Consider the following 27,346-nt stretch of genomic DNA (forward strand, 5'->3'; position numbering starts at 1 on the left):
ATAATCTCCTGGTGTGCCGTTTTTTAAGCCCGTGGGAAAAGTGCAGTATTAGGGTGGGAGTGCCCTGATTTTCCAGGTGCCGTCTGTCACCCCTTTCTTTGACTAGGAAAGGGAATGCCCTGACCCCTTGCGCTTCCTGAGTGAGGCACTGCCTCGCCGTGCTTCGGCTCGTGCACGGTGCGCTGCACCCACTGTCCTGCACCCACTGTCTGGCACTCCCTAGTGAGGTGAACCTGGTACCTCAGATGGAAATGCAGAAATCACCTGTCTTCTGCGTCGCTCACGCTGGGAGCTGTAGACCAGAGCTGTTCCTATTCGGCCATCTTGCCCCTTCGATGCTTTGAGATTTTTAAACCCAAGATTACATTAAAAGAACCAGTTGTGCACTCTCCCAGTCATCTCAAGGACACAGTACACCTGTGTCAGGGGAGCTGCTCAAAGTCTGGAATGTAGATTTGGGGCAACAGGTATATTAAGAAGAAAGATTATAGCAGAGCTGGGAGTCAAATTTTTTTTTCTCATCGTTATAATGAAATGACTTATTGAAGGGCCTGTTGTATAGTACATTAAAAATCCATACAGTATAGCTTGGATCCTGTCAGAAGAGTGGATTTGATTCTTTCTCTTAAATTATTTTGTAGCTCTCATTTTGTGTAACCTTTGGGAGGATCCCTTGTGATGTCTTAATGTTTGAGGCTATATTTAATGCTTACCTTCTGGAAAGATGTTACATGAACAGTCTGTTTAAAGCATGGAGGAATAGTGTCCACTTCTTGGCCTCTTGCCAGCTCTGCCTCCTCATCCCTTCCATCCCTTCTAATCCTGGACCTCTCGTCTTCTGTGCTTGTACCCCGCATGACGTCATCCAGCCTTCTGGCTTCATCTGTGCAGAGACTGCTTCCCTGAAGTTTTCTATACAGCTGCCTACCCGACATGTACCTGGGGTTTCTGAGAGGCTTCTCAAACTCACCACGTCACAGATCTCCCTCAGAGCCTACTCACCTTTTATTATTTCCTAACTCCATCAGTCCTGCTGTTCTGGCCACCTATCTTGTCAATATCCTGACCTCTCTCTCATCCACCTTCAGTACATCAGCAAGTTACATTGTTTCTACTTTTGGAAGAGACCTGGAATTTGACCACTCCTCAGGCTTGCACCAGGACCCAGCCCAGCCCCCCAAACCACCCTGACCCTGGACTTAAATTGTTTCACCAGCCTCCAAAAATGGTCTTTCTGCTTCACACTTGCTCCCTACCTCTTCAGTCTATTCTGAACACAGCACTCAGAATGCCTCTTCTAAATTATTGGTCAAATAGTGTCATTCCTCTGCTCAAAATCCTTTGGTGCTCTCTGTCTCATTCTGAGTAAAAGAGCCCTTGCAACGACAAGGCCCTGCGAGACTTAACAGCCTCCCTCCAGCTCTCTCCTGCTCCATGGTCCCTGTCCGGTCTACTCCAGCATCAGAGCCATGCTGTTCTGGAAGCCTGTGGGCATGCTGCCACTCCAGGGCCCTTGGCCCTTGCTGTTTTCTGTCTGGGCTGTAGTTCCACAAATAACAAGTGGTTCCTTCCCTTACCTCCTTCACGGTCTTGCTCAAAGGCCACCCCAGTGAGAAGTCCTTCAACCCCGTTTAAAATTGCAAACCATCCCTGCTTAATTCTTCTCTAAAGCGCATTTCTCTTTCCAATATACTTTATACATTTCCTATTTACTTTATTCATTGTTTGCCTACTGCACTAGTATGTAAATTTCATGGTGGTAGGGATTTATGTTTATTGACATAATGAAGACACATTTGACTACATAGCAGTTAAAATATTGTAAGACCACATTAACTAAGTTAATTATATTCTTTTTCTTTTCAGAGACAGAGTCTCTCTCTTTTGCCCAGTCTGGAGTGCAGTGGTGCGATCATAGCTTATTGCAACCTCAAACTCCAGTGATCCTCCCACCTCAGCCTCTTGAGTAACTGGGACCACAGGCGTGTGCCACCATGCCTGGCTAATTAAAACTTTTTTTTTTTAAAGAGTTGAGATCTTGTTATGTTGCCCAGGCCGGTCTCGAATTCTGGGCTCAAGTAGTCCTCCTGCCTTGGCCTCCCAAAGTGCTAGGATTACAGGTGTGAGCCACTGTGTCTGGCCTAATTATTTTCTGGATCTTGTCTTTTACATTTGCAATAAAGGATCTCATAGGTAATACATTGACCCTTGAACAATGTGGAGATTAGGGGCACTGATCCCCCACATAATAAGAAATCTGCTTATACTGTTTGATTCCTTAAAAACTTAACAACTAAAAGCCTACTACTGATATCATAGTTGGTTAACTGTACTTTATATAAGTATTATATACTGTATTCTTCAAGATAGGTAGATTTCATGCATGTCCGTGTGAAGAGACCACCAAACAGGCTTTGTGTGAGCAATAAAGCATTTAATCACCTGGGTGCAGGCGGGCTGAGTCCGAAAAGAGAGTCAGCCAAGGGAGATAGGGGTAGGGCCATTTTTATAAGATTTGGGTAGGTAAAGGAAAATTACAGTCAAGGGGGGTTTGTTCTGTGGTGGGCAGGAGTGGGGGTCGCAAGGTGCTCAGTGGGGGAGCTTTTTGAGCCAGGATGAGCCAGGAAAAGGACTTTCACAAGGTAATGTCATCGCTTAAGGCAAGGACTGGCCATTTTCACTTCTTTTGTGGTGGAATATCATCAGTTAAGGCAAGGAGCGGCCATTTACACTTCTTTTGTGGTGGAATGTCATCAGTTAAGGCGGGGCAGGGCAAATTCACTTCTTTTGTGATTCTTCAGTTACTTCAGGCCATCTGGGCGTATATGTGCAAGTCACAGGGGATGCGATGGCTTGGCTTGGGCTCAGAAGCCTGACGAGAGAAATGTTATTAAGAAAAATCATAAGAAAAAATACATTTACTGTTAATTAAATACATTTACTGTTCTTTAAGTGGAAGTGGATCCATCATCCATCGCAAACGTCTTTATCCTTGGTTTTTTCACAGTGAGTGGGCTGAGGAGGAGGAGGAAAGGAAGAGGTTGGTCTTGGTATCCAAGGGGTGGTAAAGGCAGAAGAAAATCTGTGTGTAAGTGGAACTGCGCAGTTCAAACCCGTGTTGTTCAAGGGTCAAGTATATATAAAGAGCTCCCAGTAATTAATAAGCACAAGGCAGACAACCCTATAGAAAATTGGATAAAGGACAGTGAACAGACTTTTGACAGCAGAAATACAGAAATGCCTAAAAAGATGACAAATGCCTAGCCTTATTAGTAATCAGGGAAATACAAATTAGAAGAGTAAGGTATTTTCATCCATTGATTGGCACAAATTACAAACAGTGGTAATAATCTGGTGTGACTAAGGGTGTATTCCTAAGATTCTATCATGCGCTGCTGGTGAAAGTGCATGCTAGCACAGACTTTGGAGGGTAATGATGGCAATAGATATTTGGTAAATTCTGTCTGCCTACCTAGCTTATAAAATATTTGTGCATGTACATAGACATGTAAATATAAGGCTATACACTGTAGCATTGTCATTAGAAAAGGGACTAACTTAAATGTCCAGGTCTTTAGAAATAGATCATATAAGATCTTATTAAAGGTCTTTACAAAATTATAGCTACATAATAATCTTAAGAAAGAATCCAGTCTATTTTGACAGCATCAATTCCAAATTCCTGGTATTTTTATTATATTATACTTTAATTTTAAAGAAAAAAGGTAGTAGTATCTGTAAAAGCTTACTGGAAATACACAAGTGTAGGTATTATGCCCACACTATGAAACATTACTCAGCTTTAAAAAGAATGGCCTAGATCTACATGTATATATGGAAAGGATTTCTGAGGCTCAGTTAAATGAAAAAAGAGCTGCAATGTATGTATGTTATAACGCCATTAGTATAACAGCAAACCCAAATGCTGTTTTACAAGTGTACATTAATAAATAAAGGCATAGAAAAACTTCTGGGAGGATGACAGCCAGTTACCAGGTTTCCTTTGGGTCGGGAAGTAAAACTGGGGGCAGGGAGACATCCTGCCTATCCTCTGTATTTGAGTTTTTACCAAGAAAAGTGTTCACGATTAATTTTATAATAAAAAAGTAAAGTATTTTAACTGTTCTTTCCAAATAAAAGTCTTTTAGAAAATGATTAAAAGCAACTAAATTAGAGGTTGTGAGAAATGATTCTTAAACAGTCCATGACTAGCAAATTTTTTATATTGGAGGATTCAAATATTTGTGTGTGATCTCAAAGACTAATAGTATTTCATAATAATATTTAATAATCTTCATTTATCTGAAACAAAAATGAATGAGACACAAATGAGGGATCAGGAGCCCTGGGGCCTGTGGCTGAGCCTCCCCAACTTACTGTTTTTTTTGTTGTTGTTGTTACGGAGTCTCGCTCTGTTGCCCAGGCTGGAGTGCAGTGGCCTGATCTCGGCTAACTGCAAGCTCCGCCTCCACGGTTCATGCCATTCTGCCATTCTCCTGCCTCAGCCTCCTGAGTAGCTGGGACTACAGGCACCTGCCACCATGCCCGGCTAATTTTTTGTATTTTTAGTAGAGATGGGATTTCACCATGTTAGCCAGGATGGTCTTGATCTCCTGACCTCGTGATCCACCCGCCTCGGCCTCTTGAAGTGCTGGGATTACAGGCATGAGCCACTGCGGCCGGCCCCCCACTTATTGTTGAATGTGTAGCAGCAGCTTCCCAAAAGCCAGCATCGTTTTTAGGTGAAAAATGGGCCTAGAAAACCAAAGCCATTGCCAGTTCTGGTGGTGACCATGCAGAGGTGGGCGTAAGGAAGCCATGGATCTGAACAAAACCTCAGTTGTTCGTATTAGAGCCAATTATCAGATTCAGTGGGATGCAAATCTATGGAGAGCGTGTGTTCAATATGAAAATTTAAAAAAATCTTGAACTTTTAGAATGTGGTCTTATCTAGTCCTTAAAAATTAGGAAATTTTTAGTGCATGTAGCAGCCAGAGTGAAAAACAGCTTTTTTTTTTTTTTTTTTTTTTTTGAGACGAAGTCTCTAACCAGGCTGGTGTGCAGTGGTGTGATCTTGGCTCACTTCAGCCTCTGCCTCCTGGGTTCAAGCAATTCTCCTGCCTCAGCCTCCTGAGTAGCTGGGACTGCAGGCGCGCGCCACCACGCCCAGCTAATTATTTTGTATTTTTAGTAGAGATGGGGTTTCACCATGTTGCCAGGCTGGTCTCGATCTCCTGACCTTGTGATCCTCTTGCCTCGGCTCCCAAAGTGCTGGGATTACAGGCGTGAGCCACCGCGTCCGGCCCAAAAACAGCTTTTTAATAGAAGTTATTATCCTTAGTGAAATTTCTCAAATATGAGGATTAGAGAGTCTTGAAAGAGTTTTCATTTGAATGTTATGAGCCAATCAAAGTTATCTGGGTTTTTCCATAATGAACCTCCCTTCTTAGATCCAGAAAAGATCTTCATGGTCCTTGGGTCTAACTCCATTTTATATAATATTTCTTTTTCTTTTTTTTTTTTTAAATTCCCAATGTTAGTTTTTCTGAAATTTTATATATTTTTGAGTTAAAAAATTTAAGTTGTAAAAGTAATATATGTTCATCTTGGAAAATACCAAAAGATATGAAGGAAAAAAAAATCACCCAGAATCTTACCACATAAAGACAACTAAGGCATTAGCATATTTCCTTTGATTTCCATGTGCTGTAATTTAAATTTGTCTCGTTTTATGCAGTTGGAACAATATTATACAAATGGTTTTGTATACTTCTCATTTGTAACATTGCTTTTTTTTTTTTTGAGATGGAGTTTCACTCTTGTTCACCCAGGCTGGAGTGCAATGGTGTGATCTTGGCTCTCTGCAACCTCCACCTCCTGGGGTTCAAGCTACTCTTCTGCCTCAGCCTCCTGAGTAGCTGGGATTACAGGCATGCACCACCATGCCCGGCTAATTTTGTATTTTTAGTAGAGGTTTTAGGTTTTAGGTTTCGTCATGTTGGCTAGGCTGGTCTCCAACTCCTGACCTCAGGTGATCTGCCTGCCTTGGCTTCCAAAAGTGCTGGGATTATAGGTATGAGCCACCGCACCCAGCCGTACCATTACTTTTATCTGTTATAACTGTATAAATATATACATTTTGGTGACCGCATGATATATATATATATTGAATGATCCTCCCACCTCAGCCTCCCCTGAGTAGCTGGGGGTACATGTACGCTCCATTACACCCTGCTTGTTTCTTAATTTCTTTCTTTTTTTTTTTTTTTGAGACAGAGTTTCACTCTTGTTGCCCAGGCTGGAGCACAGTGGCGTGATCTTGGCTTACGGCAACCTCTGCCTCCCGGGTTCAAGTGATTCTCCTGCCTCAGCCTCCCAGGTAGCTGGGATTACAGGCATGCACCACCACGCCTGGCTAATTTTGTATTTTTAGTAGAGTCAGGGTTTCTCCATGTTGGTCAGGCTGGTCTTGAATTCCTGACCTCAGGTGATCCACCCGCCTTGGCCTCCCAAAGTGTTGGAATTACAGGTGTGAGCCACCACGCCTGGCCCACCCTGCTAGTTTCTAAAAAATGTTTTGTAGAGATGGGTTCTCACTATGTTGATCATGCTGCTCCCATCTTTTGATAAGTTTCAGTGTATGCTTTTATAAATAATGTCAGATTTTTATTCCTGGAGCTTCTTACCTATTTCCGATTATTGCCTTAGATTTAGATGTTAGAGTCTCTTGATAAATAATGCAAAAAACTGCTTTGGAAACCATAACCTTTATTTGAACAATGACATGGCACACTGCTTGCAGAATGAGCCTGGGGCAGGAATCTCCTGAGTCCTGAGCCTGCTTTCTCTTTTGTAATCTTCTGCCTTCTCTTGGGATTTAAGCAAAAGATCAGAGGTTCTTCCTTTAATTACAGTGCTTCCTGCAAGCAAATGAAAGGTGAAAATCCAAGGCAGAAATGTGAACTTGCTCTTCTATTAGCTGTGGACTCTATGAGAAGGTCTAGTGTTTATGTAGCATTTCAGCTCCTGCCTTTACAGCTGAAGTAACACCAAACCACAGAACATGCAAAAATGTTTTCCTTACATATAAATGTTCCTATTTATGATTTACTATGCCACCTTTTAAAATTAATGAGTAACATTGTTACACGTGATGGGCAGGGCTCTACGCCCTCATGTAGGCTTTTCGGGGTCTCCACACTTACCCACTTTTCCAGTCCACTCCCCTGCCTCCTCTTCCTCCCCACCCACTGTGTGGTGGTCCATTGGAACTGGCAGTCTACTTGCCACTCCTCCCTGCCATGCAGTTATATGGAGTCTTCCCTCCTGAGCTAGCACTCCCCTGCCCTACATTGAATCTGCAGGTCCCCCTCGTTCTATGAGACCAGCTTCCCAAAGCCTTCCAGCACCCTCTGCAGCAGCTCTCAGTGTCCTGCCCAGAGGCAATCGCTTCCTGCCCTGAGGTTCCACCCACTAATGTGGCACTTGCCTTGCTGAATGCTGTGTTTGCTCATCGGTCTCTCTTCATAACTAGACGGAGAGCAACTCTACGATGGGGTCTGCACCTTGTTAATTTCTGTATCTTCTGCAGAACACCTGCCACTTAAAAGATATTTGTTGTTCTTTGGTCACTAAATTAGGTGAGAGTTCAGGCCTGATGCTCTCTATGGCTTTGTTGCAGGTCTTTCTGTCTGAGTGGAAGGAGCACAAAGTTGCACTCTCACAGCTCACCAGCCTGGAGATGAAAGATGATTTCCTCCATGGACTGCAGATGCTGAAATCTCTCCAAGGCACACATGTTGTCACGCTGCTTGGCTATTGTGAGGATGACAACACTATGCTTACTGAATATCACCCTCTAGGTTCCTTGAGTAACCTGGAAGAAACACTAAACCTTTCAAAGTACCAAAATGTGAACACGTGGCAGCACAGGCTGGAGCTGGCCATGGACTATGTCAGCATCATTAATTACCTGCACCACAGCCCTGTGGGCACACGGGTCATGTGCGACTCCAACGACCTGCCGAAGACACTGTCCCAGTATCTGCTAACAAGCAACTTCAGCATTTTGGCAAATGACTTGGACGCCTTACCCCTGGTGAACCACAGCTCCGGGATGCTGGTGAAGTGCGGCCACAGGGAGCTGCATGGGGATTTCGTGGCTCCAGAGCAACTGTGGCCCTATGGAGAGGACGTGCCTTTCCACGATGATCTCATGCCCTCATATGATGAGAAGATTGACATTTGGAAGATCCCAGACATCTCCAGTTTCCTTCTGGGGCACATTGAAGGGAGTGATATGGTCCGATTCCATTTGTTTGATATTCACAAAGCATGCAAGAGCCAGACTCCCTCAGAAAGACCCACTGCCCAGGACGTTCTGGAGACCTACCAGAAGGTCTTGGATACACTTAGAGATGCCATGATGTCTCAGGCAAGAGAGATGCTGTGAAAACCAGTCCAGCCAATGAAGGTGGGATTGAAGGGCTGAATGGAAGTTACAGCATTCTACTCTGATGGTGGAGTTTTTTGCCTGAGTTTCGTGTTTTATTGTTTTTTTTATGGCTTAGCCATGTGGTTCGTTGTCCACATCCACATGTACGTTTGTATGTAGTCCACATTGGTTGTTAGATTTTTTTTTTTTTCTTTGAGATGCGGTCTTGCTCTGTTGCTGAGGCTGGAGTGCAGTGATGTGATCTTGGCTCACTGCAGCCTCTGCCTCCCAGGTTCAAGCAATTCTCCCACCTCAGCCTCCTGAGTAGCTGGGATTACAGGCACACCACCACGCCTGGCTAATTTTTGTATTTTTAGTGGAGGTGGGGTTTCACCATGTTGGCCAGGCTGGTCCCGAACTCCTGACTTCCTCGGCCTCCCAAAGTGTTGGGATTACAGGCATGGGCCACTATGCCTGGCCAGTTGTTAGATTTCCATGGATTTGTAGTTTCCAAAGTTTCTCGTTATTGATTTCTACTTTTCTTCCATTGTGGTCTGAGAAGGTACTTGATATGATTTAGATTTTTAAAAATTTATTGAGACTTGTTTTGTGGTCTAACATATGGTCTATGCTGCAGAATGGTCCATGTGCTGATGAGAAGAATGTATATTCTGCAGCTGTTGGAAGAAAGGGTCTGTAAATGTCTGTTAGGTCCATTTGGTCTATAATGCAGATTAAGTCTGATGTTTCTTTCTAGATGATCTGCCCAATACTGAAAGTGAGGCATTAAAATCCCCTGCTTTTTTTTGTATTAGGATCTGCCTCTCTCTTTAGCTCTAATAGTGTTTGTTTATACATGTGAGTACTTTGGTATTGGGTGCATATATATTTAAAATTGTTACATCCTTTTGCTGAATTGATCCCTTTTTCATTATGTAATGATCTTCTTTGTCCCTTTTTATGTTTTCTGACTTAGTCTATTATGAATAAGTATAGCTACTCCTGCACATTTTTGGTTTAAATTTGCACGGAATATTTTTTTCCATCTGTTCACTTTCAGTCTATATGTGTTTTTACATGTGAAGTGAGTTTGTTATAGGTAACATATAGTTGAATCTTGTTTTTTTAAAATCCATTCAGCCAGTCTATGTATTTTAATTGGAGAATTTAAATTATTTACATTCAGGGTTTTTATTGATAGGTGAGGACTTAGTCCTGTGCATTTGTTTTCTGATTGTCTTGTATATATTTTTTCCTATCTTTTTTATTTATTTTTATTTTTTATTTTGAGACAGAGTGTTGCTGTGTCTCCCAGGCTGGAGTGCAGTGGCAGGATCTCGGCTCACTGCAACCTCTGCCTCCCAAGTTCAAGCAATTCTCCTGCCTCAACCTCCCAAGTGGCTGGGATTACAGGTGCCCACCACCACACCCAGCTAATTTTTGTACTTTTAGTAGAGATGGGGTTTCACCTATCTTCTTTTGTATTGTTTACTTTACAATTTGGTGGTTTTTTAAATAGTCATAATGTTTGATTCCTTTTTCTCATTTGTGTTTCTGTTCTATTAGTGAGTTTTAAGCCTTTGTTTGTTTTCATGATGGTAGATACCATCCTGTCTATTTGAAGATCAGATGAGATTGGGCGTGTTCAGGGTGGTATTAATGTGGGAATGAAGGAGGACTGGAGAGACAATGGGGTGAGACAAGAGGATTTTTATTGAGTGCACTCAGACCCAGCTGATAACATTCAAAAACTGGGCCCAGACAAAGACAGTACTTGACTTTTATACACACTTCTAAAAGGGGGTGGGCTAGCTTGAAACAAGCTTATGGTGGCGTGAAGCAAAGATACAGGGGCAGAACAAAGGCAGCTAATCAAACTGTGACAGGTTCATGAGCCAGGATTACATATGACCCTTGCTGTGCAGCTCACATGGCTGTTATCTAGGCTTGCTCAAAAGAGCCTTGCATGGGCTTATCTCATAACGTTCGCTATGGCACCCAGACTGCCGCAGCCCAGGCCTGCTCAGGCATGTCTTACAACCTTCACTGTGCTGCTTAGTTAAAACAGAGTACTTGAAGTTACTGGTTACAGAAAACCGGAATCTATAAACTCATATGTTTACTCATAAGGGAAAGGAAAATTTGTTTTTTTCTCCCTATGTTGAGGAAGTGCTGGGAGAGTCTCCAGAGCACATTCCTTTGAGCCTTTGCTTATTTGATAATGTTATCGAGACTTTGTCTGGGTCCAGGCTTTGACTGTTAACTGCCTTTGGGATGAGTCAGCCTAATATAGAAAGCTTGTTTTTCTTTTTTTAATTTTATTTTTCTTTCTTTACTTTCCTGCCTCAGTATGGCTTTCTCTTCCAGATGTAGGATTCCCTTAAGCATTTCTTGTCGGGCTGATCTGGTTGTGATGATTTCCCTGTTTTTTCTTTTTTTTTGAGATGGAGTCTTACTCTGTCACCCAGGCTGGAATGCAGTGGCACAACCTCTGCTCACTGCAAGCTCTGCCTCCCGGGTTTGCACCATTCTCCTGCCTCAGCCTCCCAAGTAGCTGGGACCACAGGTGCCTGCCACCACACCCGGCTAATTTTTTGTATCTTTAGTAGAGATGGGGTTTCACCATGTTAGCCAGGATGGTCTCGATCTCCTGATCTCGTGATCTGCCCGCCTCAGACCTCGTGATCCACCCGCCTCGGCCTCCCAAAGTGCTGGTATTACAGGTGTGAGCCACCGTGCCTGGCCAGTATTTTTTTTTTAAAACTAAATTATCATTAATGTTAAAATTTAACTGACCATGTATATAACTGTGTAATTGCTGCTTTCTCACAGAACTGTCTAGGATTCATTCAACAGACCACAGAAATGAGGTCTGGCATTTAACAGACTAATGATAGAAGAAATAAACTGGTTTATACAAGAATATCAAAATACTGTCATGTGGTTTAGTGTAGCTCAAGTTATGAATTAGTGCCAACTCTTGCTGCAGTGTCTCTCACACAATTTTATCTTGGAACTTGGCGATTTAAATTGACTTTCTTCACTGAAAAGAGTTCTTTCATGATACTCTTCGTGAATTGCTCATATAGCAGCTTAATCTCTTTCATTTGCTGTCTCCTAACAATGCTAACTTGTTGCCACCTCTTTTGTTGCTCTTGAAATATTTTAATTAGTTTTTCTTCCTCTCCTCAGTCTTCTACATGTCTATGTTGTATTCTTGAAGCAAAGTCAGCAACTGTATAGGATATCTATAATTCCATTTCTGCATTCTGTGTTCTCAAAATAACATTCAGTTATGTTCTCGGTGTTGATGCAAGCTTTTGTATATACTTTTGAGGCCTTTATCTTTTTGCAGCAAGACCCTGTTTAATGGCAGCTGCAATTACTTGTAGCTTCTCTACATCAACCCCCTTGTCTTCCTCATCTGTTTCTGCAAAAGGTTTTCTTTCCCTGTGCTCATCAGTTTCTGGATCCTTTTCTCCCTGTTCCATTTCCTGGGTGGCCATGACCTGAGCCTCCAACTGGACCTTGGCAGCCCTCCTGTTGCTCCTCCTGCCTTGGGTGCAATCGCTAGTTGTCCTGGGATGCCAGAGGCGACTCCTCAACCCTGAGGGACCCTTGATGGTGCTCCCTCACAGGACCTGTATAATGCCTCACTATGAGGCTCCTCTGAGGGCCTGGGGTCCTCCTCCTCTCAGTTTTTACTTGTGTGGGAAAGACTTTATTTGTCCTTCAATTTTGAAGGATAGCTTTACTTAGTTTAATATTCTTGGCTGGCAGTTTTTTTTATTTCAGCACTGTAATATATATTATCCCATTCTCTCCTGACCTGTAAGTTTTTTTTTTTTTTTTTAAACAGGAAATTCTCTTATAAGTGACTTGATGCTTTCCTTTTGCTGTTTTTAGAATTCTCTCTGTGTTTGACTTTTGACAATTTGATTGTAATGTGCCTTGCAGAAGACCTTTTTGGTTTGAATCTTTTTTGGGATTACTGAACATCCTGTATCTGGATGTCTGTATCTCTTGCAAGACTTAAGAAATGTTTGACTGTTATTTTGCTAAATAGGTTTTCTGTGCCTCTTCCCTTCTCTTTCCTGAAACACCGAGAATTTATTTGGTCTGACTGGGTTATTTCAAAAGACCTGTCTTCAAGTTCAGAAAATCTTAGTTTTGCTTTATCTAGCGTACTTTTGAAGCTCTCAGTTGCATTTTTAAATTTTATTCATTGAATTTTTCAGTTCCAGGATTTGTTTGGTTATTTTTCTATATCTATCTCTACTGACTGTCTTATTCAGATCATGAATTGTTTTCCTACTTTGTATTATCTGTGTTCTCTTGCAACTTGCTGAGTTTCCCTAAGATCATTATTTTGAATTCCTTTTCTGGCATTTTTATAGATTTCCTTTTCTTTTGAATCTGTTACTGGAGAATTATTGTGTCTCTTTGGAGGTATCAAATTTCCTTGCTTTTTCATGTTTCTTGTGTCCTTACATTGATATCTATTCAGCTAGTGGAAGAGTTGCTTCTTCCAATTTTATGGATTGGCTTTCATAAGGAAAGACTTTTTTGTAGGCATATCTGTAGTTTTGGTTGTGATTAGGATGTTTTGGCTTTGATTCTGGTGAGCACAGGAGTGTAGGCTCAATGATTTCTTCAGCTGTAACCAATGTAACTGGTGTCATGTAACCATGTCACTGTGAGTCCTCAGTGGCTTAAGTTGCCATTGTTAGCTGAGGCTGTTGTGAGGCTTTTCTGGGGAAAGGGATGCCAGAGGGGCCAGTCCCTGGGCCTTTTGGTGGCATGGGCAGGCTTTAGCTGTGGTGGCGATGGGCTGGGCATGCTAGTCCTCAGGACCCCAGCTGGTGTAAGTGCTGGTAGTGGGGGGCCCAGGTGGGCTGGTCCTCAAGCCCCCAGGCAGCATTTATGGTGCTGGCAGTGGCAGTAGCAGCAGTGGGCTAGACACTGGACTGTCAGGTGGCAATCATAGCTGTTGGCAGTAGCTGTGGCAGGATGAATGGGACAGTTTCTAGCCCCCTAGGTGATGCACTTGGGTGGGCACTGGTGGTAGGTGGGGCAGGCCTGTTCAGGCCTTGGGATTGTGTGCGTGGGCACCAGTGGTGTTGGATGGGGTGGGCCAGTCGTCAGGCCCCCCTACAGAGCATATAGGCACCAGTAGTGGCATGAGGGAAAGATAGCGCTGGAGAACACTGGTGACAGTGGGTGGAGCAGGCCTGTCTTTAGGTTCTTGGATGGCACATATGGACATACTGGTCCTCAGGCCCCCTGAAGGTGCACACAGGCATGCTGTTGCCCTGCTGAGAGGGGCAAGGTTCTGTTGGTGGCATTGGTGTTGGGAAGATGGCTCCCAGGTTCTGGGAGCTTCAGCTCCCTTTTTCCTGGGGTAGCCTCCCTGGTGTGCTATACTGCCTGTTCCCTGGGATATAAGACACTTCATGGGTCAGAGTACTGGGGACCTGGCTGCACTGCTGGGTGATTGTGATACTGCAACCTTCTGGATGGATGTGGGAGGATGTTCTTGGGGGTCCAGGGATGTGGACTGCAGGGGCTTATTGGACCCCAAGTGGGCAGGATATAATCTGGTGGGGGCTAGCCTCTTAAAATGGTGCTGTGCCACAGCAGCATGTTTCTTGGGATGTGAGTAGGATCCAGTGGAATTCCCTTTCTGGAAGAACGCATTTGCATGGATTCCAGGCAGCTCCGTATACTGGACTCAGGGCCTGTGAAGGCTGACGGCATCCCCTGTGGGTGCCAGCATCTGTGCTGCGAATGTGGACCACTGCAGTTCTTTGACTTTTCTTTTCCCAGAAATGGGATTCCCCTCCTGCTTCTGAGCCAGTCCAAGACATGCTGGCTGCTTTATTTACTGCTCCCTTTGTGCCTCAGAAGTTCCCTGTTGAATAGTGTTCTGTCTTTGGTGCTCTACCTGACATGTGGTTAACTACTTGCTTTTTTGGTCCTTTGTTGTGCAGGAGTTGAGTGCCAGGCTCACGGTTTTTTGATTACCATAGTTTTGTAGTTTTTGAAATTCAGAAGTGTGAGACCTCCAACTTTTTCTTTTTCAAGATTATTTTGGCTGTTGAGTCAATTATGATTCCATATGCATTTTAGATGGATTTTTCTATTTCTGGAATTGTGCCATTAGGAGTCTGATAGATACTGCATTGAATCTGTAGAGTGCTTTGGGTAGTATTGACATCTTCCCACTATTAAGTCTTCCAGTACATGAACACATGCATTTTCCTGATGACTAATGATGTTGTACCTTTTCATATGCTTATTGGCTATTTGTAGATCTTCCTGGGAGAAATGTCTATGCAGACTTTTTGCCAATTTTTTAATTTGTCCATTTAAAAATCAGGGTTTTTTTTGTTGTTGAGTTGTAGGAGTTCTTTTTGTATTCCTTATACTAGTCCCTTATCAGATATATGCTTTGCAGATATTTTCTCCCAGGTGGGTTGTCTTCACTTCCTTGGTAGTGTCTTTTAATACACAAAGTTTTAAATTTTTATGAAGTCAAATGTATCTACATTTTTCTTTGGTTGCTCATGCTTTTGGTGTTGCATCTAAGAATCCACTGCCAAATCCAAGGTCATGAAGATTTACTCCTATGTTTTCTTCTAAGAATTTTATAGTTTTTGCTATTACATAAGGTCTTTGAGCCATTAAGATCTTTGACTTAACTTTTGTATATGATGTAAAGTCACTGTCAAACATCATTCTTTTGCATTTGGCTGTCCAGGTATCCCAGCATTATTTGTTGAAATGCCTACACTTCTTTATATTCCCTTGACTCCTCTAACCAAGGCAGTTGGACCTTTGCTACTACCACTGCCCTGAAACTGCTGTCACTGGGTTACTGAGGACTGGGTAGCTTAGTTGAGTAGATAATCTTTTGTTGTTTCCTCCTTGTAATATACAAGCCTTGGCTTCTGTGACATCATACTCTCCTAGATTTCCCCCTGTCACTGTGGCTTCTTCTCAGTCTCTGTCCATCCCTGGTGCTCCTGAAGGTTCTGTTCTCAGCCTTACACACATTACCTGGGTGATCTCATTCTCTGCCATGACTTCACTTGCCATATATGTGCTGATTTTCCCCAAATTCCTATTTCTCCCGACCTTTACATCTATTTTATTTGCAGGTCATATATCTAATAAGGAATTGATATCCAGTGTACATGTAGAACTCCTGTAATTCAATACAGAAACCAAACAGTCCAATTAATAAATGGAGAAGAGATTTGAATGAACATTTTTCTAAAGAACATCTCAAGCTCAAGATTTCCCAGATAACTTTTCTTTCTTCAAAATCTGCTTCTGTGTTTCCTCATCTGTAGGTGGCACAGCATACATCTGATTTCCCAAGCCAGAAACCTCATAGTTATTCTTGACTCCAGGAAGAAATATTATTGAGTTTTTAAAAACTCAGCTTATTGACTCATTGTTTTATATAATAAAATGCAACAGTTTTAAGTGTATATTTCAATGAGTTTTAATACATTTATGTACTTGTGTCACTATCCTCATAGATAGAGACAAAACATTTCTATCACACCGGCAATTTCCTATGTGTCCCATCCCAATCAATCCTTTCCCCTTTGCTGGCTCCAAACAATGACTCTTTCCTATCTTTTTAGAAAGATTAGAATTGCTTTTCTAGAGTTCCAGTAATGGAATCATACAGTGTCTAAGTCTGTTTGTGGTGCTGTAACAAAATACCTGAGACTGGGTAATTTATAAATTATAGGAATTTATTTCTCACAGTTCTGGATGCTGAAAAGTTTATGATCAAGGCACTAGCAGGTTTGGTGTCTGAGGGCCCAGTTTCTAATTTGAAGATGGTGCTTTAAACACTGTCCTCACATGGTAGAAGGGGCAGATGGGCAAAAAAAAAAAAAAAAAAAAAAGGGCAAATGCTGTGTGTAGCCCCTCTCATAAAGGGCTTAAGCTCATTCACCAGGGAAGAGCTCTCATGACCTAATCACCTCCAAAGACCCCACCTCTTAATACTATTGCATTGCAGATTAAGTTTCAACATGAATTTTGGAGGGATACAAATATTCACACCATAGAATATAGTAATATAGTATAGTATATATTTTTTGTGTCTGTCTGCTTTTGCTCAGTGTAATGTTTTTGAGGTTCATCTATGTTGTTGCATGTATTAGTAGGTTGTATCTATTGGTGCATAGTTATTCCATTGTATGTATGTACCACACTCTTCATTTACCTGCTGATGGATATTGCATTGTTTCCAGTTTTGGGTTATTATGAATAAAACTGCTGTTAACCTTAAAATATAAGTCTTTGTGTAGACATATGTTTTCATTTGTCTTGAGCAAATACCTGATTGGTCAGATGGTCATATGTCAGTATATGTTTAATATCATGTACTTCCAACTGTTTACCAAAGTAGTTGTGCCATTTTATTTTCCCACTAGCGATGTATGAGTTCCATTTGATCCACATCTTTGCCAACACTTGTTATTTATTTTAGCCCATTAAATTTTAGCTGTTTTAGTGGGTGTGATTAGTGTCTCAATGTAGGGTTTTTTTGTTTTTGTTGTTTTTTTTTGGATTGCCTTTCTCTATTGCCCAGGCTTGAGTGCAGTGGCACAATCATAGCTCACTGCAGCCTCAATTTCCTAGACTCAAGTGATCCTTCCACCTCAGCCTCCCAAGTAGCAGTTAGAATCAAGGTTTCTTTCCATGTGGATATCCAATTGTTCCAGCATTATTTATTGACAAGATTATCCTTTCCTTCATTAAATTCCTTTGGCAGCTTGGTGAAAAACCAATGGGTGGGTTTATTTCTAGGCTCTCTATCCTGTCCCTTTTTGTTTTTTTTGTTTTTGTTTTGAGACGGAGTCTTGCTGTGTTGCCCAGCTGGAGTGTAGTGGCGTGATCTCGGCTCACTGCAACCCCCGCCTCCCGGGTTCAAGTGATTCTCCTGCTTCAGCCTCCTGAGTAGCTGGGATTACAGGCATGCGCCACCACGCCCAGCTAATTTTTGTATTTTTAGTAGAGATGGGGTTTTACCGTGTTGGTCCGGCTGGTCTTGAACTCCTGACGTCGTGATCTGCCTGCCTTGGCCTCCCAAAGTGCTGGGATTAGAGGCATGAGCCACCACGCCTGGCACCTATCCTTTTTTAGTAAATCTTAACATCAGGTAGTTGTAAGACCTGCAAATTCGTTATTTTTCACAATTGTTTTGGCCATTTTAGGTCCTTTGCATTTCCACATACATTTTTAGAATCAACTTGTCAATTTTAACAACAACAACAACAACAACAAAACTCCTGGAACTTTGACTGGGATTGTATTGAACTTATAGATCAATCTGGGGAGAACTGGCATCTTAACAGTAATGATTCTTCCAATCTATGAACACAGTATATCTCTCCAACTTTTTAGGTCTTAATTTTGTTAAATTGTTTGTAGTTTTCAGTGTTCTGGTCTTGTACCTGTTTTGTTAAATTTAAAAAATTCCCACTTTGGGAGGCTGAGGCAGGCAGATCACGAGGTCAGGAGTTCGAGACTAGGCTGGCCAAAATAGTGAAACCCCATCTCTACTAAAAATACAAAAAAATTAGCTGGGCATAGTGGCACACGTCTGTAGTCCCAGGTACTTGGGAGTCTGAGGCAGGAGAATCGTTTGAACCCAGGAGGCGGAGGTTGTGGTGAATCGAGATTGTCCCATTGCACTCCAACCTGGGCGACAAGAGCAAAACTCTGTCTCAAAAAAAAAAAAAAATTCCATCATAAAAGAAAAAAAATTCAATTGTAAATTCCAGTTTTTTCAGTGTCAACATCCAGTTGTTTATGTCCAGAAAATAAAAATACAATTGATTTTTGTATACTGACTTTGAATTCTGTGACCTTGCCAAACTCATGAGTTCTAGTAGCTTTTTGATGGGTAGATTCCTTAAGATATTCCACATGTACAATCAGGCCATCTTTGAATGGAGCCAGTTTGTTTGCTTTTATATTTCTTTGCCTTATTGTGTATCCTTGCTTTGTTCTTGATCCACAGGGGGAAGCATTTGGTCTTTGCAAGTGTCAGGTTAGGTTTTTTGGAGATGCCTTTATCATACTAAGGAAGTTCCCTCTTTTTCTAGTTGCTGAGAGTTGAATAGGTGTTGAATCTGTTGATCACATGGGGCCATATGACTTGCTCTGGCCAGAGAAACATGAAGGAAGTCATAGACATCTCTTCTAGATAGGCGCTTGAAGAGCCAGTGTAGGATTTGCTACATTGTCCTCCCACCGCCGCTTCTGCTGTGATGAAGCGTTGGGCATCAGTGTGAACAAGAAAGGGATTGTTGTTGGGGTAAGCCATGAGGTTTTGGAGCTGTTTGTTAATGTATTACAGTCTAATGAGAAGGTTCTTGCCCTCAGGACAAACTCCTTGCCTTCATGGAGCTTACATTCTAGTGCAAGTGGGGCAGACAAATACACGTAATGTCAGGTGGAGATTAGTGTAATGAAGAAAAGCAGGATCCGAGGCTCCAGCACCTTTTAGCTTTAGATAACGGTTTTTGTGGAAGGCCTCCTTAAATGAGGCAGCAGTTGGCCTGAGAGCTGAATGAAGTGAGGGAGGAGCCATGAGGTGTCTGGGTAAGGAAGGGTCTTCCAGGTACAGGAACAGCTATGCACAGCCCTAAGACAGGAACTCCAGACTCTCCTGGACATGGAGGGTGTGACAAAGCTGTCCTCCAAGTGAAAAGAGAAGGGCACATTCAGCCAGTGACTTCTGTGGTTTAAGCCAGGGCTGGGCTAGAGAGGGCCGCTGCTGTGTGTTAGGCAGAAGATGACTAGTTGGCCATGGCCTGGCCAGACCGCTCCGATGCCAGCGTCCTTCAGCTCCTGGGATTTCGAGCGATGGGGCAGGGGGCAAAGAGGAAAGAGGGAGTACCTGAATGTCCTGACATTCTGGCATAGGGGCTTTCTTTGAGAAAAATCATTTGACTGAACTTGAGTTTGTGAGATAGCTCATGACCATTACTTTCCTGAGTTATTCTCCACCTTCAAACTCACCAACAGCTTCTACTGTACTTAGGAAGAAGCCTGCACTCAACTCTGCTATCTAGTTCACCTCCTCTCTCCCCTCTCCCCTTAGAGAACCCTGCTCCAGTTGCCCCAGGTTTCTTTCAGTTCCTTCACAAAGTGACACTTTCTCTGCGCTGTTGGAAAGGCTGTTCCTTCTCCTGAGAACACTCTTCCTGCTTTCTCCTGGCTAACATCTCTCAGGGCTCAACTTAAATGACAGTCCTCCTGGAAGCCTTCCCAGACAAGCCTGGGTGCTTCTGTCAAATGCCACCTTAGCATTTTGTCCTTCTCCTAATAGCACTAATCACATTGTCTTGTAGCTTTAAAAAATTATCAAATAATTCAGACACCCAAAGAAGTATAAAAAATAATACAAAATGCACCGTATCACCCAACTTAAGCAATGAAACACTGCCAGTGAAGTCCTTAAGGTTCTCCTCCCTTCCTGCTCTCAACCCTTACCGGAATTTAATGTTTATCTTTCTGAGACAGCCAGGTGGGAAGGGGTCCCCAGAGAAACTCCAACTGGCCTGCACACTGGTGTGCTTTGCATGTCTGTGTGGTTTGTAGGTAACTTCACTGCAGGCCTCCATCTTGTTTTACAATCTGGGGGCATGGCCTGTAACTCCCTGGTAAGGCTTTGTTTAGCAATCCTGCCTTAGGGAGTGAGTCCCTTTCTAGTTCGATAGCTGCATGTTTTCCTAGCCCTGTCTCTTAAAGGATCCCACCCAGTGACTGAGGTTTCTTCTGCCTGCCTGTGTAACTATATATATATGTTGTGTATGATGTCTGTAAAAAGAGCTCTAATTAATCTGGCCTAAAGAAAGACAAGCGCTTAGATCAAATTTTTTTTAAAGAGAAGATAAAAGCTGTGGTACCTTTCAGTTTATGTGACTTTAATCTTTGAGAAATAAAAACAGCTTTAAAGATTATTGGTAAAAAGCAGATGCCATCAAAATGTAAATAGGCGGACTAAATTATGCAGGCCAGATGCAAGGTTTGCTAAGTGTTTTAAGGTTATAAACTGCTTTTTGGGTTTTGAGAACTATTTGTCTTGATGGCTTCACAATTATTAAGACCTGGGAACATATGGAACTAACCACACCCTTAATTATGCTAGGAGTCAAACCTTGGCTGCATCTGGCACACAAAACAGCTTACCAAGTTTTACATTAAAATTAAAAATTGCTAGGAGTTACTGTTTTAACATGTAATTGAGACTACTGGAAATAGATTTATATGCGAGGTGTGTAAGAACAGTAAATTTTTTTTTTTTTTTGAAACGGAGTCTTGCTCTGTCGCCCAGGCTGGAGTGCAGTGGAGTGATCAGGGCTCACTGAATCCTCCGCCTCCTGGGTTCAAGCTATTCTCCTGCCTCAGCCTCCCAAGTAGCTGGGATTACAGGCATGCGCCACCATGCCTGGTTAATTTTTGTATTTTTAGTAGAGATGAGGTTTCACCATGTTGCCCAGGCTGGTCCCTAACTCCTGACCTCATGATCCACCCGCTTCAGCCTCCCAAAGTGCTTGGGATTACAGGTGTGAGCCACCACGCCCAGCCAAATGTGTTTTTTTGTAAAAGGTTATAAGAAGGCATGGAAATGTAAATTTTTGCCTAGGGTTAAAGGATTGTTTTAAATTAGGATGAAGTTGCAGGTTCAAACAAGTGGTGGAAGCATTGTGGAAATTAATCTTGCAAAGGGGTTTTCTATGTGAACATATTGACTAAATTTCAAAGGGTATTATATGATTTTTCTGTAAATTGAGCATTGAAATAAAAGCACAACAAGGTATTCTTAAGGCACTGATCTGCTCTTCAGCAAAATTTGTAAGGGGTTATAAAAGATTTTTGCTTCTTTAAAATTTCTGAGTCATCATTTTGGCAAAATAAATAACTTATGGTAATCTGGAATTCTGTTTCATAACATCAAGTGCTTTAAACCTCGAACATATTTAACAGCCTTCCCAAATCAAACTTCAGTTTCAAAATTGTCTTTCCTGATGTTTGGCTTTTTGGACCGTTTGGAGTGCCCCTGAAATATCCAAGAAATAGGTAAACAGGATCATTTGACATGTTTAGGTACATGGGATTGCCAAAATGATGTTCAGTTTTCTTTAGGTTATATTTTTGTGAATAATGCTAATGTATGTTCCAAAATTATATGGGATTTCTAAAACTCTAATGTCTAAGTATATGCTATCAACCATAATTAAGGTTGTTAAGTTATTGTAAACCACAGAGATAGCCAAACTTCTTTGTCAATTGTGTTTCTAACTGCAACTAACCTGGACATTTGGCTAGTCACAGACAATTGTTGTCTTGTTTTAATCATTTTCAAAAGATGGTTTATAATAAGCAATAGGACTCTGGCAGGTACTCTCAAATACAGGTTTCTGATAACTTTGGAGATTGTCACATTGGAATAAAGGCAAATGTACAGGATTCATAAAGAGCTGAAGTGTTCACGAATATCAAGCAAAACAAGAACTAAATGGACTGAACTCAAAGCTGAAGCAAACTTTTTGACTTTTGCTGGGAATATTGTTGATCCTTGTTTTGTTTTTCAGAGTCAGGGAAACTTATTTTAAACTATTTATGGTCTTTAATAATTGACTGAGGTATACTCCTGTGGACAAGATTTGGAGCATGCTTGTTTCTCTTTGCCTGGTTCCTTTTTTTTTGTGGACAGACTGTTACTCTTTCGCCCAGGCTGGACTACAGTGGAGGGATCTTGGCCCACTGCAACCTCCGCTTCCCTGGCTCAAGCGATTCTCCTGCCACAGCCTCCTGAGTAGCTGGGACTACAGGCGCGGGCCACCATGCCCAGGTAGTTTTTGTATTTTTAGTAGAGATGGGGTTTCACTATGTTGTCCAGCCTGGTCTCGAACTCCTGACCTCAAGTGATCTGCCTGCCTTGGCCTTCCAAAGTATTGGGATTAGCTGTGAGCCACTGCGCCCGGCCTGGTTCCTCTAGAATCTGGAAACTATCTGTGAGTATTTTTAACTTGTGGCAATATAGTTGTCTGGATCGGTGTGATAGGAATCCATTTATCTTTTGTTAACAAGACGCAATTGGAAAAACTGGTTATTTTCCCGAGGCTTTCACTGGAAGGCTATGCTTCTGTTTAAAGAATCAATCTCGACTTGCAGGGCCAATAAAAGCCCAGTGGGGAAGTTGGCCTCATACTCTTGTCTACACAGTCCCTGTACAGGGTTCCTGACCTGTGGTCAGTAAAGAATGTCACTTGCTAACAGGTCCAGGAGCTCCAAGTTTATCCTGGGACCTTAAGAGGAGAGGATCACCCAACCCAAGGTGTATCATGGGAACTTAAGAGGAGAGGATTAGCCCAGTTCATGGCTGGGCTTGGCTTTATCTTATCTGAGATTCCTTGTGGAACAGAGTTCCATCAAAGCCAGTCCAAAAGGCCTTTGTAGAAATAATTATTCTTGCTGCACTTTATGTAAATAATCAGGCCAAGTATAAGACTGAAGTCTATTTTGCAAACAACTGAGTCCTATCATAATTTCTTTTCTTTTCTTTCTTTTCTTTTTTTTTTTTTTAACAAAAACGAGGCCTGGAGAAAAATTATGTTCCAAAACTTACCATAATTTGTCATTCAATTCTAAACTCAGTTGTTTTTAAATTTTTGCCTGCATTTTTAGACTGACCCTGCTTGTGAACCAACCAGCAATCTCCAGCTGCAGCTCAGAAAGAACAAGAGGGATGGGTAATGTAAAAAAATCTGGATTAGTATTCTAGTTATGAGCAATTATCCTGCAAATTCTGCTAGGCAATGGGAATAAATAGGGTGCCCATCATCCAGAGGTTTCCTTTTGGGAAAGTAAGACCAAGGGAGCTAACCAAAGCCAAGCACCATGCACCCAAATCCTACCAAACATAACTGTAGCCACCAGTTATCTGGGTGTGTCACAAGACATCCTTTTCTCTCCCTTGTTGGAGGACTCAGTTCCACAGTTTTTCCTTAGCATTTGGCTTACGAGAAGGAGTCCATGCAACCCCTCAACCCCTGAGCATAAGTGAGGTCTAGGGAACTCCAAGACTACTGACAGCAGGGGTGATAGGGCATTCATGGGTAGAGGAGATAATTCCCACCCTCTAGACCCCTGCTTCATGGATGCAAGCCATTTTGGCACCCATGGTAGCACTTTCGAAGGTTGCATGGGGATGCAAGGATGGAAGAGGACGCTATTCCTTCTATCCCTCACGTACCCCAGGTATTTGCTAGGAAAAGAACCAGGGATGCCTGCTCCCCTCTTTCTATGTGGGTAGCCATTTATCTTCAGTCTGCACCACTTTCAAATGCATCTGGAACCCTTCGGATTCCTTTGAAAAAATGCCTTCTTTTTTCCTTTCTCCTCCTCGGTTCACAATGACAATCCTAATTGTGTCTCCATACTATGGGACACTCCCCTCAGATGCATTTTCCAAACTGGAAAGAGTTAATTTCCTAAACCTTAAACTGGCTGGCTTAGGATTGGTTTCAGGGGAAGGGAACCCAGAAGCCCAACATGCCAGCAAAAGGGTAAAGTTGTTTACCATTCGGACTTTTGGCCCCCTTCTCCGTGTACAAATTGGTAAAAAGCCTCAGGATTTTTGAGCTGTCCTTATCCCTCCCCTTGTTTCTTTTCTTTTCTTTTTTTTTTTGAGACAGGGTCTCACTCTGTCGCCCAGGCTGGAGTGCAGTGATGTGGTCTTGGCTCACTGCAACCTCCGTTCAAACGATTCTCCTGCCTCAACCTCCTAAGTAGCTGGGAGTACAGGCAGGCACCACCACTGCTGGCTAATTTTTGTATTTTTAGTAGAGACAGGGTTTCACCATGTTGGCCAGGCTGGTCTTGAACTCCTGACCTGCCAGGCTGGAGTGCAGTGGCATAATCTTGGCTCACTGCAAACTCTGCCTCCCGGATTCAAGTGATTCTCCTGCCTCAGCCTCCCAAGTAGCTGGGACTACAGGTACTTGCCATGACGCCCGGCTAATTTTTTGTATTTTTAGTAGTGACAGGGTTTCACCATGTTGGCCAGGATGGTCTCGATTTCTTGACCTCGTGATCCACCTGCCTTGGCCTCCCAAAGTGCTGGGATTACAGGCGTGAGCCACTGTGCCCGGCCATATGTGTTTAATAACCCAGTTTGTCTCTTCTTGCCTTCAGGACATCAAACGGTCATGCTACTGGAAGCTCGGACCATGGCCCCTTCTGCTGGGCACCCTTAGATAGGCCTCTGAGGGAGATCTGATTGCCATTTTCCCGAAACAGTGCCCCCTATCAGCAGGAAGCAGTTAAGATCTGTCTTTGTCCCTATTCTTATCCTAGTGGCAGTTAGATAGACTTCTTTAGAGCGAGGAATGAGCCAGATGGGAAGGGTTCCCTGGTAAAACTCCAACTGGCCTGTGCACTGCTCTGGGGTGGAGCCACAGAAGTTCGCTCCTCAGTTTGCAGCTGGGAGGAGCCTGGCCCTCCTCTTCCTCGGGAGAACCTGGGATTTAATCTGTGAGGTGGGAAGCCTACAACTAGGAGAACTCTGGCTCTGCTGAGTCCCTGTTCCCCTTTTTCTTCCTTTACACCCAATAAAACCCTGCCTTACCCTTCAAATTGTCTGCGAGCCTAATCTTTCCTGGCGTGTGACAAGGACCTCCACCGTCTTTAGCTGAACTAAGGAAAAGTCCCGCAACATTTTCATGTGTGCCTTTGTATTTTTATTACATATATGGATGTCCCTAAACAACATACATTATTGTTTTGCTTTATATATTAAAAAGGCATTCTGCAATTTGCATTTTCCCCAGCCTTGTGTTTTGAGATTTATCCATGTGGATGCGGGAAGCTGTAGAGCACTTCCCCTGCTGTGGGGCAGTTTGTTTTCTCGCTGGCGGACATTCAGCTTGTTGACAAGGTTTTGCAATTACAAGCACCTCTGCTATAGGTATTACTGTACCTGTCCCTTATACCTGCGATAGTGTCTCCCGGCATACAGCCAAGAATGGGTGTGCACACTCCTCGACCTGCTCCCTTCCACTTCGTCAGCCTGGCCGGGGGCTCTTTCAAGAGGTGGGGCCGCTTGGTGGCTTCTAAGTCGTGCCTCTCCCTCTGGGTAATAAACGCCTTGGGGGCAGGGACTTTGCAGTCTTGCTTATTGAGGCGTTTTCCAAAACAGGGACCGAGGGCTCTAACACCCGTGCGGAGGGTGGCCGGCGGGGGCGGGAGTTTGGCAGAATGCGGCTGGAGAAGGTGGGGCGAGGGAAGAAGGCTCCTGGCCTGCAGGGGCCTCTCTTCCGGCTGTTTTTCCTCCCGAAGACAAACACTCCCAACGCAGGGGCGCAGAGCCTCGGCTTCTTTCCTGGCCAGCTCCCTCAAGGCAGGGCCTAGCATGGCCCGGCCCAGCCCCTAGGTTCCCCCGCCCGCGGCTCCCGGGCGCCTCCGCCTCCCGCGGTGACTCAGGCGGCGGTGACGGCAGCGGAGGGGGCGATGACGGGCGCGCGGGCGTCCGCGGCGGAGCAGCGCAGGGCGGGGCGCAGCGGGCAGGCAAGGGCGGCCGAGCGGGCGGCGGGCATGAGCGGGGCGGGCAGGGCGCTGGCCGCGCTGCTGCTGGCCGCGTCCGTGCTGAGCGCCGCGCTGCTGGCCCCCGGCGGCTCTTCGGGGCGCGATGCCCAGGCCGCGCCGCCACGAGGTGAGTGCACACCTCCTACCGCCGCCCGGCCGGCTACGAGCGCAGCGTCTCCTCTCCGCGGCGCCGCCCCTATCTCCGTGCGCGGCGCCGAGCGCTAGGCCGGGCCGGAACCGCCCCCGTGGCCTGGGCTGTTGCTGCGACTTCGCGGTCCCGCGCCCCAGACCGGAGGCCGGACTTCGGGGTGCTGCGGCCGGGCCCCGCGGAGGCGGGGGAGGGGGCGGTTCGGACCGCGGCGGAGTGGAACCTGGGCGCCCAGGCGGCGCCCACCCCAGCGGAGCCTGCGTCCTGGCGCCTTCCGTCTAAACAGAGGCCGCGGATCGGGACGCCGGGACCCCACAAACTGGCAGCCAGGAGGCGGGCCAGCCGAGGATCGGGGGGGCTCGGACTCCCCCTGCACCCAGTCCACTGTTCGGAGGGACTTAGAGCAGGGTCCCTTCCCTGAGGGCCTCGCCCCCGAGGACGTGGCGCCGGAGCCGTGCGACCCATTGGCTTCAGCGGGTGGGAAGCCTGGGGCCGGGACGCGCGTTCGCCCCGCGCTGGGGTTGAACCTGCGTGGATGTGCGGCGGGTGAGGAACCGCGGAGAAGGCGGTGGGGGCGCGGCCTGCAGCCCGGTCCCGGGCGAGCCCTCCGCGCGTCTCCCCTCGGCGCGTTTTCCCTCCAGGGTGACTGGGAAGCCGCCGCCGCCGCCGCCGCCGCCTGGGAGGGGCCGGGCTGGGCGCTTTTGCCCCGGGCCCCGGACCCCGGGCGTTTGTCCGGTGCGCTGGCTTAAGAGGCGCTCAGCTCATACCGTGATTGCACAACTGGCTTGCTCTCCGAACTCGGTGGGGAAAACGGTGACAAATACAGATTCCAGGTCTCCATCTAGACCCCTGCACCGGGGAGCCCCAGGCCCTAGGTCCTTCGCACACGCCCCTCCCAGAGGGGTCGGGCAAGCATCGCAAACCCCTTTGGGTAGGAGGGACGGTGGGAGTCACCTGTCTTTCCCCTCTCGCGCCCTTTTCTTGGTCAGAATACGAAGTTTTAGTGTCTGTGTATGGAGTTCAAACGACCCCTCCTCTCCAAGCAGAAGCTGGAGGAGAAAGGCGTTGTGAATTTTGGAAAAGCGGCTCAGAGGATTACATTTTGTGCGATCCTTGATCCACCCAACCTTCATCTC

General features: G+C 44.5%; 2 protein-coding genes across 9 annotated transcripts in view, besides 4 other annotated features; both read left to right on the forward strand.

The window, feature by feature from the left end:
* The window catches only part of POMK (protein O-mannose kinase), a 29,920-nt gene extending 20,911 nt beyond the window's left edge, over window positions 1-9,009 (forward strand). For both annotated transcript variants that reach the window (NM_032237.5, NM_001277971.2), the window contains one exon: window positions 7,682-9,009. In NM_032237.5, the coding sequence (NP_115613.1) occupies window positions 7,682-8,452 (771 nt within the window). In that variant the 3' untranslated portion in view covers window positions 8,453-9,009. The remainder of the gene's footprint in view (window positions 1-7,681) is intronic.
* Window positions 2,417-2,975: an enhancer, noted in NCBI's record as "NANOG hESC enhancer chr8:42971985-42972543 (GRCh37/hg19 assembly coordinates)". NCBI's record gives its function as "activates a minimal SCP1, AML or CMV promoter by ChIP-STARR-seq in naive and primed H9 embryonic stem cells {active_cell/tissue: H9 hESC(naive and primed)}" and the evidence as "EXISTENCE:reporter gene assay evidence [ECO:0000049][PMID:30033119]".
* Window positions 24,701-24,995: an enhancer, noted in NCBI's record as "tiled region #5985; K562 Activating DNase unmatched - State 5:Enh". NCBI's record gives its function as "activates a minimal TATA promoter and a strong SV40 promoter by Sharpr-MPRA in K562 cells {active_cell/tissue: K562}" and the evidence as "EXISTENCE:reporter gene assay evidence [ECO:0000049][PMID:27701403]".
* Window positions 25,839-26,628: a silencer, noted in NCBI's record as "silent region_19164". NCBI's record gives its function as "represses an Ori minimal core promoter by ATAC-STARR-seq in GM12878 lymphoblastoid cells {active_cell/tissue: GM12878}" and the evidence as "EXISTENCE:reporter gene assay evidence [ECO:0000049][PMID:35858748]".
* Window positions 26,039-27,346, forward strand: part of HGSNAT (heparan-alpha-glucosaminide N-acetyltransferase) — a 62,392-nt gene continuing 61,084 nt past the window's right edge. For all 7 annotated transcript variants that reach the window (XM_005273409.2, NM_001363227.2, NM_152419.3 and 4 more), the window contains exon 1: window positions 26,039-26,189. In XM_005273409.2, coding sequence (XP_005273466.1) covers window positions 26,072-26,189 — 118 coding nt within the window. In that variant the 5' untranslated portion in view covers window positions 26,039-26,071. The remainder of the gene's footprint in view (window positions 26,190-27,346) is intronic.
* Window positions 26,639-27,018: a silencer, noted in NCBI's record as "silent region_19165". NCBI's record gives its function as "represses an Ori minimal core promoter by ATAC-STARR-seq in GM12878 lymphoblastoid cells {active_cell/tissue: GM12878}" and the evidence as "EXISTENCE:reporter gene assay evidence [ECO:0000049][PMID:35858748]".

The sequence above is a fragment of the Homo sapiens genome, chromosome 8, assembly GCF_000001405.40.
Source record: "Homo sapiens chromosome 8, GRCh38.p14 Primary Assembly".
NCBI lineage: Eukaryota > Metazoa > Chordata > Mammalia > Primates > Hominidae > Homo > Homo sapiens.